This window comes from Homo sapiens, chromosome 7, assembly GCF_000001405.40.
Source record: "Homo sapiens chromosome 7, GRCh38.p14 Primary Assembly".
Taxonomy (NCBI): domain Eukaryota; kingdom Metazoa; phylum Chordata; class Mammalia; order Primates; family Hominidae; genus Homo; species Homo sapiens.
In genome coordinates, this window is record NC_000007.14 from 98957103 (window position 1) to 98974838 (window position 17736).

Consider the following 17736-nt stretch of genomic DNA (forward strand, 5'->3'; position numbering starts at 1 on the left):
CCTGGCACTGTCTGCACTTTGTCCATTGGCCTCGCTCCACACATCTGGTCCGGAGCAAGTCTCACTCTGCCGCAAATAACTCATCCCTGCCTTCACACTGTGGTCCCAGTCTCTGTCACCCCTCGAAGTAACCAGATGGGAGCTGCTCAACTGCCTCCCTGTTCTCTCTTTCGCTGTTCCTCTCTCCGCCTCCACTTTTATTCCCTCTTTATTTTTCACAAAGCAGTCAGACTTCCACAAAAGTTTCCTTTTGCATCTTGAATCAGGGGAAGCTGGGTGAAGGGTACGTGAGACCTCTACAGTGTTTTTGTAGAAATCTCTTGTGGATCTTACAATCCTTTGGAAGTAAAAAGTTGAATCAAGTCAGGTTGCCATTCCCCTTGCTTGAGCCCTCGCATTGACTGTGGCCTCCAGGGCCCGGGTGACCAGGCCCTGCTGATGGCTCTTGGCCCCCAGCACCGTCTCAGTGCTCAGCCATGCGGGCCATCCCTCTGCTCTCAATGCACCCCTGGTTCTGGCCCTGTGCTCACTCAGGATGTGTCCCCTGGCCTTTTCCCTCCACTGGGAGCTGTCTCTCTTCTTTTTTCTCATGGCCCGCTTCGTCTCAACCTAAAGACCTCCCTTGATGTCGTCTTGGGCCTCGCACTTTTGTTCCCCATCACATGAGCCACTATTTTGTTGACTAGCCATCTGCCCTCCTGCTGGCTGTGTCGACTTCACCAGGGCACAGACCACATCTGTCTTTGGTATCCCCAGCGCCCAGAGCTGCCTCTGTCCCCGGGAGGTACCGCATACCCATTAGCTGGGTGAAAAGTCAAGCCTGGGTTGGAAATTAGTGTTGCGATTCTCTTCCTGCCTGAAAGGAGGTCCTTTTCCAGGTCTTTGGGAGGAGCCAGTCGCTACCTGGAGCAGACTCTCTCCTCGCCAAGCCCATTGACAAGCAGCACACAGACACTGTGGTGAACTTCCTTATCCGCGTGGCCTGTCAGGTACGGGATCCAAGTGCCCTGCGTTAGGGCTTCTGCAGACCAGAGGCTACTGACTAACACCCCAGGAGGTTATCTGTGGCAATTTCATCAAAAAAGATACAGACAAACCAAGGTCTGCCAGCTGGTTCTGTCATTTTCGTATCAACTGCACTTGATTTTGTGGCAGGTTAACATTTCCAAAATCTACCTGTGTCTTATAATTGATCTAATTTTTTTGGTTTTTTTTTTTGAGATGGAGTCTCGCTTTGTTGCCCAGGCTGGAGTGCAGTGGTGCGATCTTGGCTCACTGCAGCTTCAACTCAGGTTCAAGCGATTCTCGTCCCTCAGCCTCCTGAGTTGCTGGGATTACAGGCGCGTGCCACCACACCCAGCTAGTTTTTGTATTTTTGGTAGAGATGGGGTTTCACCATGTTGGCCAGGCTGGTCTCGAGCTCCTGACCTCAAGTGATCCACCCACCTTGGCCTCCCAAAGTGCTGGGATTGCAGGCATGAGCCACCGTGCCTGGCCTGATAGGATTTTTTTAAAAAGCATTTCACTCTTTCAGTGGTAATAAAATAATGATGTGCCTTCTAGTTGACAGCATGTTAACATTGGTGGATTATGGTGGGACATGATCTCGGCTGATCATTTAACTTCCAGGTGTTCTTTTTGCATCCTTAAGATGGGAACGGTACACAGCTCAGTAAAGGGTGAGATGATCCAACCTACAGAAGGAAGGGACATTTAGCAGTTTTAGTGCTTTGATAACTTGAGTTTATTTATCATTCATATCAATCTATATCTTAATAGAATTTTTGGAAATTCATTTCTGAAACTTTATATTTCAAAGAACCATTGTAAATGAAATTTTCCTAAATTTTAAGTTCTTATTCCTGTTAAACAAAATAGTATATCTTACAGTTCTGTTGGGAATTTCCAAGTACTGAAAAGGATCTGCTAAGTACCTAACCAGTAGATAATTCCTTGCCTCCCTGCAGTGTGCAGGGAGGTCCTGTGGGGAGCCAGCAGGGCCCACAAGCCATTGCAGGTCACCACGGATGCGCTGCAGAGGAGGGGGCCGTGAGGGGTCATGAGTCAGGCTGGTTGGGGAAGGTGTCCAGCTGTGTGGAGGTCAGGCGGAAGAGAGGTGGCTGTGAGGTGAAGATCTGAGACAGGTGTAAGGGCCAGGGCACAGTTGAGACGTGCTGTCACTGGAATGACTGTAAACTCGGATGCAGTGAAATGCCGGCTGTAACTCGGATGAATTCCTAGGTTAATGACAACACCAACACAGCGGGGTCCCCTGGGGAGGTGCTCTCTCGCCGGTGTGTGAACCTTCTGAAGACTGCGTTGCGGCCAGACATGTGGCCCAAGTCCGAACTCAAGCTGCAGTGGTTCGACAAGCTGCTGATGACTGTGGTGAGTGCGAGTGTCTGAAGGGCCAGGGCAGCGCCACCGAGGCCACTAGCAGATACTGTCACCTGGGCAGGGACTGGACATTTGTGGATCACTCTGACCCTTATGCCTAAACCCCAAATCTCCTGTCCCCTTTGCCAGTCATGGCCTCTCCCACATTGGCCTCCACTGCTCTCTCCAGGGAGAGAGTTTGACTAATTGATAATGGCTTTGCTCTTGAGGCTTTAGGAGTTCGAGACCAGTCTGGGCAGCATAGTGAGATCCCAATTCTACAAAAGAGAAGACAGAAAATTAGCTGGGCATGATGGTGTGAGCTTGTAGTCCCAGCTACTTAGAAGAGCCTAAAGCAGGAGGGTTGGCTGAACCTGGGAGGTTGAGGCTGCAGTGAGCTATGATTGGTGCCACTGCACTACAGCTTGGGAGACAGAGCAAGCAAGACCTGGTCTCTTAAAAAAAAAAAAAAAAAAGAAAAAGAAAAGAAAAGAAAGAATGGCTTTGGGACTTGAGCTTTCATGCTGGCCCCAACTACACGTAGGAGTGTTTAACCTTAATACAGTTCTCTTGCATTTTGTGGACTCGTTTCTAAAACTTACCTACCAGTTGGCTTGGGATAAGCATTTTTAATTGACTGTTGCAACAACCTTTAAGATGAGCTTTGGATTTTTAAAACAGATTTAATGATGGAGCTATAATTTGTTATCAAGTACCATGTAGCACTTAGGTAACAAGGAGCTAGTCCCAAAATGCTAATTATCTTATTTTGGTGGCTGTTTTTTTGCTTATAAAAACCATGATCCTGTGCTTTTCTGGTGGCAGCAAAAGCTATTTTCTTGCCTTATCCACATTTGGTTTTTCTAGTTCTTGACAGGATTTGGAAACTTTTGCTATTGAGATTATAAAACCTATTGCAAGCACTTGTTATTCTGGACTGCAAAGGCCATGTTGCTTCTATTTGACCTCTGCTATGAACCACGAACTCTGTCTTCTATTTTATTCTGTTTCTTTGGTTTGTTTTTATTAATTTTTAGTGCTTCCATCATCTGTTAGTTGATTCCATGATACATAGTTTGAAAGATGCTTGTCTTTGGAAGGATATTTGTTTTTTGTTTTTGTTTCGTTTTTTTGAGACAGTCTCACTCTGTCGCCCAGGCTGGATTGCAGTGGCACAGTCTTGGCTCACTGCAACCTCCACCTCCCGGGTTCAAGCGATTCTCATGCCTCAACCTCCCAAGTAGCTGAGACTACAGGCGTATGCCACCATGCCTGGCTTTTTGTGTGTGTGTGTGTGTGTGTGTGTGTGTGTATTTTTAGTAGAGACGGGGTTTCACCATGTTGACCAGGCCAGCCTCAAATTCCTGGCCTCAAGTGATCCATCCACTTCAGCCTCCCAAAGTGCTGGGATTACAGGCGTAACCACTGCGCCTGGCCTGGAAGGATATTTGTATTTTTGTATCTTAAGAAAATGGGAAGAGAAAAGCAAAATTCATTGCAGGAACTTTTTTAGAATTTTACCAATTTCAAAATATTAATATTGTTTATTATCGAATATTAATATTTTAGTAAGTATTTTTAAAAAAGAGTTTGAGTAGTTATTTAAAGTGATTTTATAAAGTAATCATTCTTGTGAAATACGATTGTCATTCTCTAGTGGTTTTTTTTACTTAGTCTCCAAATAATTAATCCAGTGCTAGATTTTGCCAGACTCTTGTTTCTAGAATTTGTTGTCATTGAGTGTTTGTTTCCTCTGTGAGTGGCCTGTGTTGTCCATTGCAGGAGCAGCCAAACCAAGTGAACTATGGGAATATCTGCACGGGCCTAGAAGTGCTGAGCTTCCTGCTAACTGTCCTCCAGTCCCCAGCCATCCTCAGTAGCTTCAAACCTCTGCAGCGTGGAATTGCCGCCTGCATGACATGTGGAAACACCAAGGTGTTGCGAGCCGTCCACAGCCTTCTCTCGCGCCTGATGAGCATTTTCCCAACAGAGCCGAGTATGTGACCTTTCCCACCGGTGCTTTTCTTTCAAAGTGGACGGTGGGCGCGGAGCTTGCTATGAGAGCGCTTGTCCTCCAGTTATTGTGTCGAGCGCTTTGTTATCACTTTCCTTTCTACTTGCAAACTTTCTTTTAAAAACTGACATGGAAACATAGAATGGGCCGGGTGTGGTGGCTCACGCCTGTAATCCCAGCACTTTGGGAGGCCGAGGCGGGCGGATCACCTGAGGTCAGGAATTCAAGACCAGCCTGACCAACGTGGAGAAACCCCATCTCTACTAAAAATACAAATTTAGCTGGGTGTGGTGGCACGCACCTGTAATCCCAGCTACTCGGGAGGCTGAGGCAGGAGAATCGCTTGAACCCAGGAGGCCAGAGGTTGCGGTGAGCCGAGATCGTGCCATTGCAATCCAGCCTGGGCAACAAGAGCAAAACTCCATCTCAAAAAAAGCATAGAATGGCAGCTCTCACTGAATGTTGTCTGCTTTGGAAATTCAGTTCTTCATCAGTTGAATATTATTTTTTTAAGCTACTAAAGAGAAGTATTAAAAGTATTCAAATGTTGAACATTTGGCAGGATCAAATTTTAGCATGTTATAAATAAGTATATTTCAAGGAGATTCTGTTAGCTTTTTTGAGTATTCTGCATATAGCTGTGTAGAACGGGAACCAGCCCAGAGGTGAGGCCCACACTGTCCTGCAGGGAGAGAAGTGCCCGTGCCAATCCCTCCTGATACCCAAGCAGCCAGCACTCAGTCCCTGGCATCAGCACTGGTGGGCCCAAGAGCCATAACCACAGTGCCTGGGTCCCTGCCCTGTTGTAGGTACTTCCAGTGTGGCCTCCAAATATGAAGAGCTGGAGTGCCTCTACGCAGCCGTCGGAAAGGTCATCTATGAAGGGCTCACCAACTACGAGAAGGCCACCAATGCCAATCCCTCCCAGCTCTTCGGTGAGTGTGTGTCTGTCCTGGTGTTCGTGGTGGCTCAGTTTGGCCTCTTTCCCCGCTCACTGGACGTGCTTCCCTTTGGGAAAGGGCTCCGGTTGTTGGGCAGAGCTTTGAGCCGCTGCGTTGTTCAGGTGTCTGTTGCCTGGGGCCCTCAAGGCCGCCGTCTCCTGTAGACTGCATCCCCCTTCGCCGATGCTTGCTCTGTGCTCCCTCCTCAGCTTCCAGCACAGGCTTTGGTGTGAGGGATGTTGCCAGGGTGCATGTGTCCTGCCACCCCAGTGTCACACTAAACAGGCACCGCAAGAGCTACATGACAATGTGTGGACTCTGCCTTTCACCACCAGCCTGCCTGTGAGTCAGCCACTCACAAGATGAGAACTTGTCCCGTCTTATTGCTGAGGCTCTGGCTGGCCCAGGTGAGACGGAAACTGCCTCCCTCCTTAGGTGATCAGGGCAGCTGGGTCACTCTGGCCCCAGGTACGCAGGAGTCAGATTTATAGATGTGCCCTCAGTTTTGTGGCAGACACATGTCTTTGATCCTAGACTTTGGATTAGTGCCTCAAAATTTATTTTCTCCTTTATTGCATATTCATTGGGTGAAACTTTGAAAATACAAATGAAGGAATACTAAGTAGAAGTCACCTGTCAGGCTCTCTTCCCAATAGCAATCAGTCCCAGTATTTTAGAGTGATTATCATATTCTATACACACGTATACAAATACCTATATAGATAGCCCTTGTTAGGCAAACGCTTTTCTGAATTTGCCAACTGAATATATTTGGATGAGTTCCTTGCTCTCCAAACTTGCCAGGAGCTAGGAGAATTTGGTTAACATGGTGTCCCTTGCTCTCTTAGCTTGCTGTCTCTCTTCAGGCAGCAGCTGGGTGCGGAGAGTGAGGAGTGCTTCTGGGTCTTTTTTTAAGTGGAGTCACCCTGCAGAAGATGCCAGCTTCCATCACAGGGCAGCACAAGTATCTCCTCCCGCTGCTCATTCTCTGGAGGACTCTTGTTGAGAAGGGCTGACCTCATGGGCCCTGCCTCCCTCCTCTGTGGGGTGTCGAAGGCCGGGGCAGCCTCGGGGTGAGGTGGGCCTAGGAAGTTGGCCACACCGTCGTCCCCATGCCGGATCTGGGGTGTAGTCTCAGCCGTCTGCTCCATAGAGGAGAGCATAGCACTCGGGAACCACAGAGTACACCCCATTTCCATCACTGTCATCAAGTGTCATGGGTTGCCTGGGTTACAACCAGACTGGTCTTTTGTTGACTGCTCTGTTAAGAATTGGTCTTTTAACAAAGCTAGCCTGAAATCACCTCATAACTGGCAAACACTCTTTGGTTGATCCGTGAATACAGATTTAAAATTTAACGAGTAGGGCCAGGTGCAGTAACTCACGCCTATAATCCCAGCACTTTGGGAGGCTGAGGCAGGCGGATTACTTGAGGTCAGGAGTTTGAGACCAGCCTGGCCAACATGGTGAAACCCCGTCTCTACTAAAAATACAAAAATTAGCCGGGCGTGGTGGCAGGTGCCTGTAATCCCACCTACTCGGGAGGCTGAGGCAGGAGAATTGCTTGAATCCTGGAGGCAGAGGTTGCAGTGAGCCGAGATTACGCCACTGCACTCCAGCCTGGGTGATAGAGCAAGACTCGACATTAAAAAAAAAAAAAAAAAAAGTTTAATGGGTAGGTTGAAATCAAGGTGATTGTCACAATGCCAAATATGAAAGATAATTCTACTCAGTGTTTCTGTTCTAGTATTGGCTTTGCTGATTTTTATTGATCTTAGGCTGTTTCTCAGAATGAAGTGCAAATTGAATTCAAAGATATTTGGCATGTCCTTTAGATAGACTAGATTTTTCTTCCTCTTTTTCTTATTTTTCCCAAACCTATTATAGGAGTAAAAACTTAGGGTAATTTGCCATCACCCAAAAATAAAATGCAGAACTGAAGGTAAGAACGTTGTTTCTACTGAAGCACAAAAATCAGTTCTCATTCATGATGATTTGATCTAGTTGAGAATTAGGAGTGGAAATACAGTGTTTCATTCAGAATGTAGCGTGAGCCATGTAAAAGCTCACAGTGTTGACACTGGGATTAACTATGCTTTTGTCAGAATACATTGTTTTGAATAATGTGTTGCTTTCACTCTGTTTTTCGTGGTTGTTACTTTTCTGTGAAACACTTGGCAATTTCTACATTTTAGGGACCCTTATGATCCTCAAGTCTGCCTGCAGCAACAACCCCAGCTACATAGACAGGCTGATCTCCGTCTTTATGCGCTCCCTGCAGAAGATGGTCCGGGAGCATTTAAACCCTCAGGCAGCGTCAGGAAGCACCGAAGCCACCTCAGGTGATGTGCTGGCCACCGGGGGCCTTTCCTCAGACTCTGTTGAACAGAGAACAGACTCTGTTGTGCAGGCTGGGGCTGAACTCTAAAGGGAATGTGCATTCACCAAGTCCTGTTGTTTGGTCGTAAATCGTTACCATTTGCTCTTCAATGTAGGGGTTTAAAAAACAACTCATTGTTAAAAATGGACTGTTATTAAGCTGGGTACGGTGGCACGCCTGTGGTCCCAGCTCCTCAGCGGGCTGAGGCAAGAGGATTGCATGAGGCCCAGAGTTGGAGGCTGCTGTGAGCTGTGATCACGCCTGTGAATATCCACTGCACTCAGTCTGCAACAGATTGAGACTCTCTCTCACGTGTGCATGCGTGTGCATGTGCACACACACACACACCTGCTTTTAAAGTCTGTGAGTGTAAGAATGCAGAAATTTTAAAATAGTTGGACTTTTAGATGCTGCATTCACCACTGAGACTTACCAGTGCTTACTGTGAAACAGATACTGCTTAATCAGAGTTGCTGGTTCTGAAGAGTTAAGTCACAGGCTCCAGAGCTGAGCAGTGGGCTCCTGGAATCTGGATGCTGTGTGGGGGTGTGGGGCTGCCTGGCAGGGGCTGTGGTGGGCATGGCTTCTGGGTGCACCTCAGAGTACAGGGGCCATGATTAGGACTTCACAGCTGGGTGTGGAGAGGCCGGAGCCACCTGCACTGGTCCGTCAGCTCCCTCATCCCTCTCCCTGCAGAGAGGGCTACATTTCCAAGATGCACGTAAGAACATATGAGTGCTTCAAATCCCAGAGCTCTAGTTGCAGGAAAAAACATTGAGGGGGAAAATGGGCAGAACCCAGCATGCCAGGCAAGGCTTAGTGGCTGCCTGTTTAAATCAACGTTTAGAGACCCGTGGGTTTGTTCTTAATTGGGGCGAGCAGGTACAAGCGAGCTGGTGATGCTGAGTCTGGAGCTGGTGAAGACGCGCCTGGCAGTGATGAGCATGGAGATGCGGAAGAACTTCATCCAGGCCATCCTGACATCCCTCATCGAAAAATCACCAGATGCCAAAATCCTCCGGGCTGTGGTCAAAATCGTGGAAGAATGGGTCAAGAATAACTCCCCAATGGCAGCCAATCAGGTGAGCTGGGACGGTGTGCCATGTGATCTCCCTTTCAATAAAAGAAAATTCAAGCCTCAACATCTTGGTCTTTCTGAAACTTGAAGCAAAACATTTTTTTCTGCTGTAATTGCACTCACAGCATCTTTTCTTAATTAAGATGGATTTTTGTCTGTAATCTCAGCACTTTGGGAGGCTGAGGTGGACAGATCACAAGGTCAGGAGATTGAGACCGTCCTGGCTAACACGGTGAAACCCCGTCTCTACTAAAAATACAAAAAATTAGCCAGGCATGGTGGCGGGCGCCTGCAGTCCCAGCTACTCGGGAGGCTGAGGCAGGAGAATGGCGTGAACCCAGGAGGTGGAGCTTGCGGTGAGCTGAGATCACGCCATTGCACTCCAGCCTGGGCGACAGAGCAAGACTCTGTCTTGGAAAAAAAAAAAGAAAGATGGATTTTTTTCAGTGCACTTAACAGATGTTAAATAGAAACTGAGTTGCTCATCTTAATGTGGCTTTGCTCCTCTTAAAATGTTAAATGAAGACTCACTCCTGTCATCCCAGCACTTTGGGAGACCGAGGCAGGTGGATCACTTGAGGTCAGGAGTTTGAGACCAGCCTGGCCAACATGGTGAAACCCCGTCTCTACTAAAAATACAAAAATTAGTCAGGTATGGTGGCGCATGCCTGTAATCCCGGCTGCTCAGGATGCTGAGGCCAGAGAATCGCTTGAATCCAGGAGGCAGAGGTTGCAGTAAGCCAAGATCACACCACTGTACTCCAGTCTGGGCATCACGGCGAGACACTGTCTTAGAAAAAAAAAAAAGTTGTTAAATGAACCTTGTTAACCTTTTTATGGCGATAAAGATAAGACAAATAATACTTAAAGTAAAAGTAATAATAGAGACTATCATTTCACTTAGATGCTTGCAAACTTCTGATTTGTTTTATAATTTACAGTTGCTTTCTCTCTAAAATGAGTTGTAGCCCCTACGAAAATTACATTGGCATGTCTTGATTTTAAGCATCCAAAGATAAAGCCATCTTTGCCTTACTGTTTAGGAATGACCTTGTCTTATTGTGCTTGATAAAATTGTAGGAGCTTAAAAAATACTAGAGCAGATGGTTGAAATACTTTTAACTGCGTCTTTTCTCAAATTTCATACAGACACCTACACTCCGGGAGAAGTCCATTTTGCTTGTGAAGATGATGACTTACATAGAAAAACGCTTTCCGGAAGACCTTGAATTAAATGCCCAGTTTTTAGATCTTGTTAACTATGTCTACAGGTAATTACAGCAATTAATCAAGTACTACATATATTGGTCCTTAATGTGCTCCCCGGCCAGCCAGCCATGCAGCCATGATTTTAATCTTTTACTCATACCTAAGTTTAAAATATTCATTTAAATGCTAAATTGTGTGACCTACTTTGGTGTCATTAAAGGACCTTGTGTTGTAATGCTGCATGAGCCTGCCACGATTTATAACATACTCTTGGTTTTCATAGTGGCATTTCAGCAAGTTCACATCCACGTTCACCTGTTTCTGCTTGTTTGCATATGACTTGGGGAGTCCATCGTCTTGCCTGTCTCTGACTTGGTGTTACAGGGATGAGACCCTCTCTGGCAGCGAGCTGACGGCGAAACTTGAGCCTGCCTTTCTCTCTGGGCTGCGCTGTGCCCAGCCACTCATCAGGGCAAAGTTTTTCGAGGTTTTTGACAACTCCATGAAACGTCGTGTCTACGAGCGCTTGCTCTATGTGACCTGTTCGCAGAACTGGGAAGCCATGGGGAACCACTTCTGGATCAAGCAGTGCATTGAGGTAGGAAGACTCGGCTCACATCTGTGGCCGGGGGCAGCTGTGGGTTTTCTGAGTTGGGGCTCCAAAGCCAGGAGGTGTTCACACACACTGAGATGAATTGGAAATCTCCAGCACAAACCTGCTTCTGATCTCCAGGAAGAAAATAAAGACTTCAGGGCAAGCGTTCATCTAAAGCGTTTTTGGGCTGATTTAAAATCCTGTGTCAGAAAGTTGAATAGTATATTTTTGTAGGTGAAGATTCATTTTTTCTTCAAATATAAAAAAGTTTGAATTCTGTCTGCGTGCCCTAGAAAATAAAACTGTGGACTTGTCAACTCCCATTGTTCTTTTTTTTTTTTGAGACAGAGTCCTGCTCTGTTGCCCAGGTTGGAGTGAAGTGGTATGATCTCAGCTCACTGCAACCTCTGCCTTCCAGGTTTAAGCAATTGTTGTGCCCCAGCCTCCCCGGTAGCTGGGATTATAGGCCCATGTAACCACACCCGGCTGATTTTTGTATTTTTAGTAGAGATGGGGTTTCACCATGTTGCCCGGGCTGGTCACAAACTCCCAAGCTCAAGTGATCTGACTTCCTCGGCCTCCCAAAATGCTGTGATTACAGGCATGAGGCACCATGCCTGGCCCCCATCATTCCTTAAGCAGAAAGATGGAGCAGCCGGGCCAGGGCCTGACCACGCTGTCGGTTTTGGTTCCTTAGTGTGAGGAGTCGGGTGCTGGCAACACAAGCGTGTTTAACATGCTCAGTGTTATGAAAGCGAGGTCCAGACCTAGAGTAGAATTGACTTTTCATGGAAGGCAAGTCAGATGTTCTTTGAGTTTCCAGCAGGATTGTGGTAAGCTTCTAGCTTGCTAGAGTTTCAGCCTGTGGCTCACTCATCAGCTTGAGTTTGCTGTGGCAGGTTACCAGTGCTGTGCAGGTAGTTCTCGTCCATTTACCTGGAGTGAATGAAACCAGGTCACCACGTACTATGTCTCCTGAGACAGCTGGGACAGAAGGTGGATTAGTTCTCTTTGATGAGAAGAAGGGAGTGAGTTGTGGTGCTGGGTCTCAGGAGAGCCTGCTAGCATGTTTCCTGTTCGTGCCGGATGGGCGTTCTCTTGGCGCGTGTGCAGCGTGCGTTTGGAATTTTGCCTATGGCCACACCTGGGCAGAGTTCCCTGCTCTTCCATCACTCGTTCAGGAGACCTTTCGACTGCTGGTTAGTTGCCAGGCACTGGGTCAGGTGCTAAAAAGACAAAGACAGACGACATATTGGCTGTGGCAGGTCCATGTGAATCGGTCAGGGGAAGGGCACAAGCCAAGAGTCCTCGACTCCCTCCTTCCTTTGCCCCTGAGTATCTGCTCCCTCACTGCGGGTGACAGTTCAGGGCCCACTGGCCACCGCCATCTCTCATTAGGACGATGGAACCATTTCCGTAGTGTTCAACCACCTCCCCTCCTACTGATAAGTTTTCTCTGTCGTTACAAAATTATTCTTAATAAAGCAGATAACAATACTCTTTCCATTGTGCGTGGCATAAAATCCAGCCTCCAGGCTATGGTCCCCATAGCCTCTCTCTGCCAGGTGACTGGCCCCCTGCCTCTCTCTGCATCCCCATCTCATCCCTCTCCCTCCAGCATCAGTCTCCAGTGTGCTGGCCTTCCATATTCTTGATCTTGCCTCACTCTTGCCACTCAGGCTAATGTGCAGCTCCTTTTAATTCTGTCAGTCCACCCTGTTTCCTGGCCATGTTACCACAGTGAGCACATGCCTGGCTGTGTCCTTCCCCCTGACACTTCAGCTCCTTGAGGCAGGGGACACTATCTCTGTGCAGTCAACAGATGAGTCTGCAGGGCCCCCATGGCACCCAGTGGGTGCTCAGGGAATATTCGCCCAAGATGGCAAGAGTGTCGTGGCCAGGCAGCTTGTGCACGGCCTGTGGGGAAGAACGGTGTGGTGGCGAGTGGCCCAACTGCAGAGGCAGGCAGGGGCTTCAGTACATCACGGAGGGGCTCGCAACTCACACGGGGAAGCCTACACTGTCGCCTGAGGCTGCGGGAAGCTATGGGTGGGTGGGCCGGGGTAAAGGGCCACTGTGTGGAAAGAGATGGGTTCAGGAGGACGAGTCTGGGGGTGAGGTGGGAGGTTCCACCCAGGTGGGAGCAGGAACCGCCTAGGTGTTCAGGAGTTAAGAGTGGCAGGACCTGGTGTGTGCTATGAGTGAACCAGAGGTCTTCTGTATGTGGACGATGCCTTGGAGGGGTTGGAGGAGAGGAAGCCCGTCTGGTTGGGGACAGGTGGGAAAGGGTGCTGAGCTCATACTTGGACCTGCAGAGTCAGAGGTGCCTGAGTGAGGGGCATCTGGGAGAGAAGTCCAGATGCCCTGAATGCCACGCGCATGCCTTGGGTCTGTCTCCTTTCCGCACCCCTTGCAGCTGCTTCTGGCCGTGTGTGAGAAGAGCACCCCCATTGGCACCAGCTGCCAAGGAGCCATGCTCCCGTCCATCACCAACGTCATCAACCTGGCCGATAGCCACGACCGTGCCGCCTTCGCCATGGTCACACATGTCAAGCAGGAGCCCCGGGAGCGGGAGAACAGCGAGTCCAAAGAGGAGGTGAGGCCCTGCACCCCACAGGCAGAATCCCAGAGAGGAGGTGAGGCCCCACACCCCACGGGCAGAATCCCAGAGAGGAGGTGAGACCCCGTGCCCCACGGGCAGAATCCCAGAGAGGAGGTGAGGCCCCGCGCCCCACGGGCAGAATCCCAGAGGAGTGGAGGTGAGGCCCCGCGCCCCACGGGCAGAATCCTTGGTCCTGCGGAAGAAGTTTTTGTATCAGCTTTAGATTTGTTTTGGGCATGAACAAGGTATAAAAACCTGTCTACCTGAAAGCTCTGAATGTGGTACCTAAGTTCAGCTAGATTTTTTTTTTTTTTAGTTAGAATTGAGAAGCATCTTGCACTCCCATTCGGTTTTGAGATGAATCACGTTACCATGAGCTAGTACTGCTGAGAACAGAACATTTCCCTGTGCCGTGATTTTTCTCTCCTGGTGAGAAAAGCCCGTGTTCATTACAGAAAGCGCTGCCTGGGGGAATGCTGCCTGCCACACAGGGGCTGGGGCTCTAGTTGGTTCCTCCAGCAGCCTGCTCAGAACCCATGTCTCTGCCTAGTCCCGGGACGGGCAGCAGGGAGCCTTTGCTCCTCCGAGAACCTGTACGAAGGTTGATGCCTTAGGCTTGGTGGCTTTCTGTCCTCCATGAAGTAGTGGCTGCCGCTGTTCCTGGCAGGGATTTTTGTAGGCTGTATCTCCTTAAGGTCGTTGGTTTTTGGAGGCTCAGCCTGTGTGGAGCGTTGCGTCTTAGGAGACAGTCACCCCGTGCTGCAGGCGGGCATGGCACCTTCTTTGCTCTAAAAGGGGTGGTGCGTCCCCTCTTCCATGTGCAGGATGTCTACTCATTAATAATTTCGAATTAAAATTTTTTTCCTTTTTTTACTGTTGCTAAAACACTAGATTACCTGGTCATTTGGTCTTTTCTTTCTGTAATCTTCCTGTGTGAAATAAATTGCCAAGTCTGAAGTTCTTCATTTTCAAGGGCACACACCAAATTGTCGATACCTGACTTCAAGGAGTAGTTTGATTGTTGACTGACTTCTCCAAACCTTCAGACAGAAATAAGGTGTATTCCTCTTTGGGAATGGTCATATAAAACATTGCACCAGCAACATGCTCCGCCGTGGCCCTGAAGGGATTCTCAGTCGGAGCAAGCCAGGCAGCTGGGCGACTGTATTGCATTTTGAGTAATGATAGACTATGATTCCATTAATCTTTATTATTTTTACGTTTAAAGTTTATTCTTTTAAATTGTGCTTTTGACAAAAAACCCAAATGTGAAAGCACACTGGTGGCTTCTTTATAGTCATTTTTAAAAAGAGAGCGATCTGGTCTAGTTAATCCAGGTTTTGTTTATTTTAGGATTGAAGATTATTTAAATACTTACACACTTCCAGGAAACGAACACGAATTTTACCAAAATTGTAACAAGAAGCCTACAGGAGGTGTGTTTGTTGGGTTTTCTTGAAGCCTTTGACCTTTTGGTTTTGCTTGCTGCTTTGTTTCTTAGGATGTAGAGATAGACATCGAACTAGCTCCTGGGGATCAGACCAGCACGCCCAAAACCAAAGAACTTTCAGAAAAGGACATTGGAAACCAGCTGCACATGCTAACCAACAGGCACGACAAGTTTCTGGACACTCTCCGAGAGGTGAAGGTCTGTACGCAGCTTGGAAAGGATTCGTTGCTTTCCTCCCATGGACAGTTCAAAGCCTAAATCAGGATCATTCCACAGCAGTGTAACTTTTTCTGTTTCTTTTCTTTTTCTTTTTGAGATGGGATGTTGCTTTGTCACCCAGCCTGCAGTCTAGTGGCGCAGTCGCACCTCACTGCGGCCTCAGTCTCCTGGGCCAAGCGATCCTCCCACCTCAGCCTCCCAGGTAGCTGGGACCACAGACATAGGCTGCCACACCCAGCTAATTTGTTAATTTTTTAGTAGATACAGGGTCTTGATATGTTGCTCAGACTGGTCTTGGATTCCTGGACTCAAGTGATCCACCCACCTTGGCCTCCCAAAGTGCTGGGATTATAGGCGTGAAGCAGAGATTTGGAGTGTCACAGTGTCTTATAGGAGAAAATAGGAAAAAAGTTAATTTCTCCACCACCATCTCTTGAAAGAAACGGTAAAACCGTGTACAAAAAATGTGTGAGGAGACATAATAATGTTGGATTATTTTTCAAGTGCACTAAAAGAGGAGAAAATGATAAATGAGTTAATTTGCTAAATCAAGCCCACTTTGTGGAACTGGGGGCCTCCAGGTGCATCTGTGTTTGAATCTAGCCAGGTAGAAACTCTCTGGCTTCTGCAAACTCTCAGGTAAATTATAAGTCTGTTTTTATGTCCTGACCTTGAAAGACTGGTTGAAGCTCCGTGTACCAGGTTGCTTTTGATGAGGAGGTATTTTTCTGTTCTTTCAGGAGCTGGGTGATGATTCTGATTATTCTGTTCATATCAGGAGCTAGGTGGGAAAAAAGCACAAACTACTTTTCGCAAGTGATTTTTACGTTAAAATCTTTTGGTGACCTATGTTGAACTTGTGCACTGGATCAGTCTTTGAACTTATACCCAAGTGACACCATTGTCATCTTGGATAAGGATAAAATGCTTTTCTGTGGGATGGAGCGGGAAGCAGAGCAGCCTGATACATGTGAGTGATAGCTCTCATGTTATGGGCCAGGCACTTCTTTTGTTTGTTTGTTTGTTTGTGTGAGACAGGGTCTCACTCTGTTGCTCAGGCTGGAGTATAGTGGTGCAATCTCGGCTCACAGCAACCTCCATCTCCCAGGTTCTAGCGATTCTCCTGCCTCAGCCTCCTGAGTAGCTGGGATTACAGGCACACACCACCACACCTGGCCAATTTTTGTATTTTTAGTAGAGACAGGGTTTCACCATGTTGGCCAGGCTGATCTTGAACTCCTGACCTCAGGTGATCTGCCTGCCTCGGCCTCCCAAAGTGCTGGGATTACAGGCATCTTAATAGACCCATGTCCCTACTGCCGCCACCACCAGAAAAAAGGGCTATAAGTCCATGTCCTGAAGCCCAAGGCCTCCTTTGGCTGATGGTCACCATGACACATCACCACGTCATCAGGTGCCTGGGCCTCAGTTTTAGCCTCAGCTCCTGGTGCGAGTGCCATCAGGAGAGGAAGTTCTAGCAGTATGTTGTGCGAGGGGTCAGGATATTTGGTTTTACTCAACAATATTTTTGTCTTGGCTCAGTTGGTCACAGCTGTACACCTCCACGTCCTCTGTGGGGCCATGGCTGCTCTCTGGATGGCGGCTGGGCTAGACCAGACGTGGCTGAAATCTCGGCAGATCTCACAGAAAATCTTGCCCACAGATGTCCCCATGGTCTTCTCTTGATCTGAGGCTTCATAGCCTGAGTCTCAGGGCCCATCTGTGTCACCCTTTGTAAGAGGATTGCTCAGGCCGGAGCTGCAGACGTCAGCCATACTGTTCCCAGATGCGTGTCACAGAGGAGACCCTCGAACTCAGTGCCCAGCACAGGTGGGCACACCATCACCCCTGAGCCTGGTGTGCCGCCCACTTGCTGCATGTCCTTGGGCCGCTCTGGCAGACCTGTGCCCGCCTCTTAGCAGGGTGTGGTTCTCAGGGTACTTGGGTGTGATTTAATTCTTCCCTTCTCCTTGGGTTCTTTTGTGTCCCATTTTCCTCGTTCACCTTTTACATTTGATCTCATTTCATCATTTCAGCATCTTTTTACTGAGAGCCTGCTCTGTGTCAGGTGATGTTCTGGACACTGGAAACACAGTGGTAGCTGGTCCTCAGTAGGGTGTATGTTCTAGTGAGGGGAAATAATGAACAGAAAGAAGTGCTAATCCCTCAGGAGGCGAGATGGGTGCCGGGGTAAAGCAGCCAGGGCTGGTGGGGTTGGAGAGGGTGGTGTCGTGTTATTTCATCTTCTGTGTATTTATGGGAGTTGAGATTTTTCATGGAGCAAGATGGGGTTACAAATCATTGTGTTTGTTGTTTCCACCCTGATGTTCTCCTTCCTGGAGCTCCTCTACCCTGTGAAGTGGTCAGGTGCCACCAGCTCTTCTTAGACTCTTGGATTCTAAATGTGGAGAGGGCGGTCCTCACCCCAGGCACACAGGCTCTTTCTCTTTCACCTCATTTCCCAGGTCTGGCCATTGTTCCCTGTGGGAATTCTGTGGAGGCAGCAACCCCTCGCTGGGCTCTTTTGACACTGTGGGGCCACCACGGGGTCCTCACCCCTGCACCTCTTTGGGACAGTGTGTACATCAGAACAAGCCATGGACTTGGGGAGCAGGAGCGGACTGTAATCCTGAGACACAAAACCCTGAACATCATAATCCCGGATGTTGAAATCCCTAAAGATCAAAATTTCTAACCTCTCAAATCCCGAAAATATAATGCTGGAAAAAAACAATTTAAAAATTCTTTAAAACATACACAGAGATACCCCAAATAATACTTTACTAGGTAGGTTTCCAGGTATTCCTTAGTCCAGTCAAGTTGATGCTGTAAACATGGCACCCATAGGCATCTCCTTAAACCATGCAGACAG

At 48.1% G+C, this 17736-nt stretch overlaps 1 protein-coding gene across 3 annotated transcripts in view, besides 1 other annotated feature; it reads left to right on the forward strand.

Moving 5' to 3' along the window:
- TRRAP (transformation/transcription domain associated protein) overlaps window positions 1–17736 on the forward strand; it is a 134710-nt gene that overhangs the window by 78571 nt on the left and 38403 nt on the right. For all 3 annotated transcript variants that reach the window (NM_001375524.1, NM_001244580.2, NM_003496.4), the window contains 10 exons: window positions 879–989; window positions 2242–2388; window positions 4159–4372; window positions 5200–5325; window positions 7527–7673; window positions 8594–8793; window positions 9939–10060; window positions 10383–10596; window positions 13010–13189; window positions 14697–14843. In NM_001375524.1, the coding sequence (NP_001362453.1) occupies window positions 879–989; window positions 2242–2388; window positions 4159–4372; window positions 5200–5325; window positions 7527–7673; window positions 8594–8793; window positions 9939–10060; window positions 10383–10596; window positions 13010–13189; window positions 14697–14843 (1608 nt within the window). The remainder of the gene's footprint in view (window positions 1–878; window positions 990–2241; window positions 2389–4158; window positions 4373–5199; window positions 5326–7526; window positions 7674–8593; window positions 8794–9938; window positions 10061–10382; window positions 10597–13009; window positions 13190–14696; window positions 14844–17736) is intronic.
- Window positions 4201–4365: a silencer, noted in NCBI's record as "fragment chr7:98558926-98559090 (GRCh37/hg19 assembly coordinates)". NCBI's record gives its function as "represses an EF-1alpha promoter that drives an FKBP-Casp9 reporter gene in an ReSE screen in K562 erythroleukemia cells {active_cell/tissue: K562}" and the evidence as "EXISTENCE:reporter gene assay evidence [ECO:0000049][PMID:32094911]".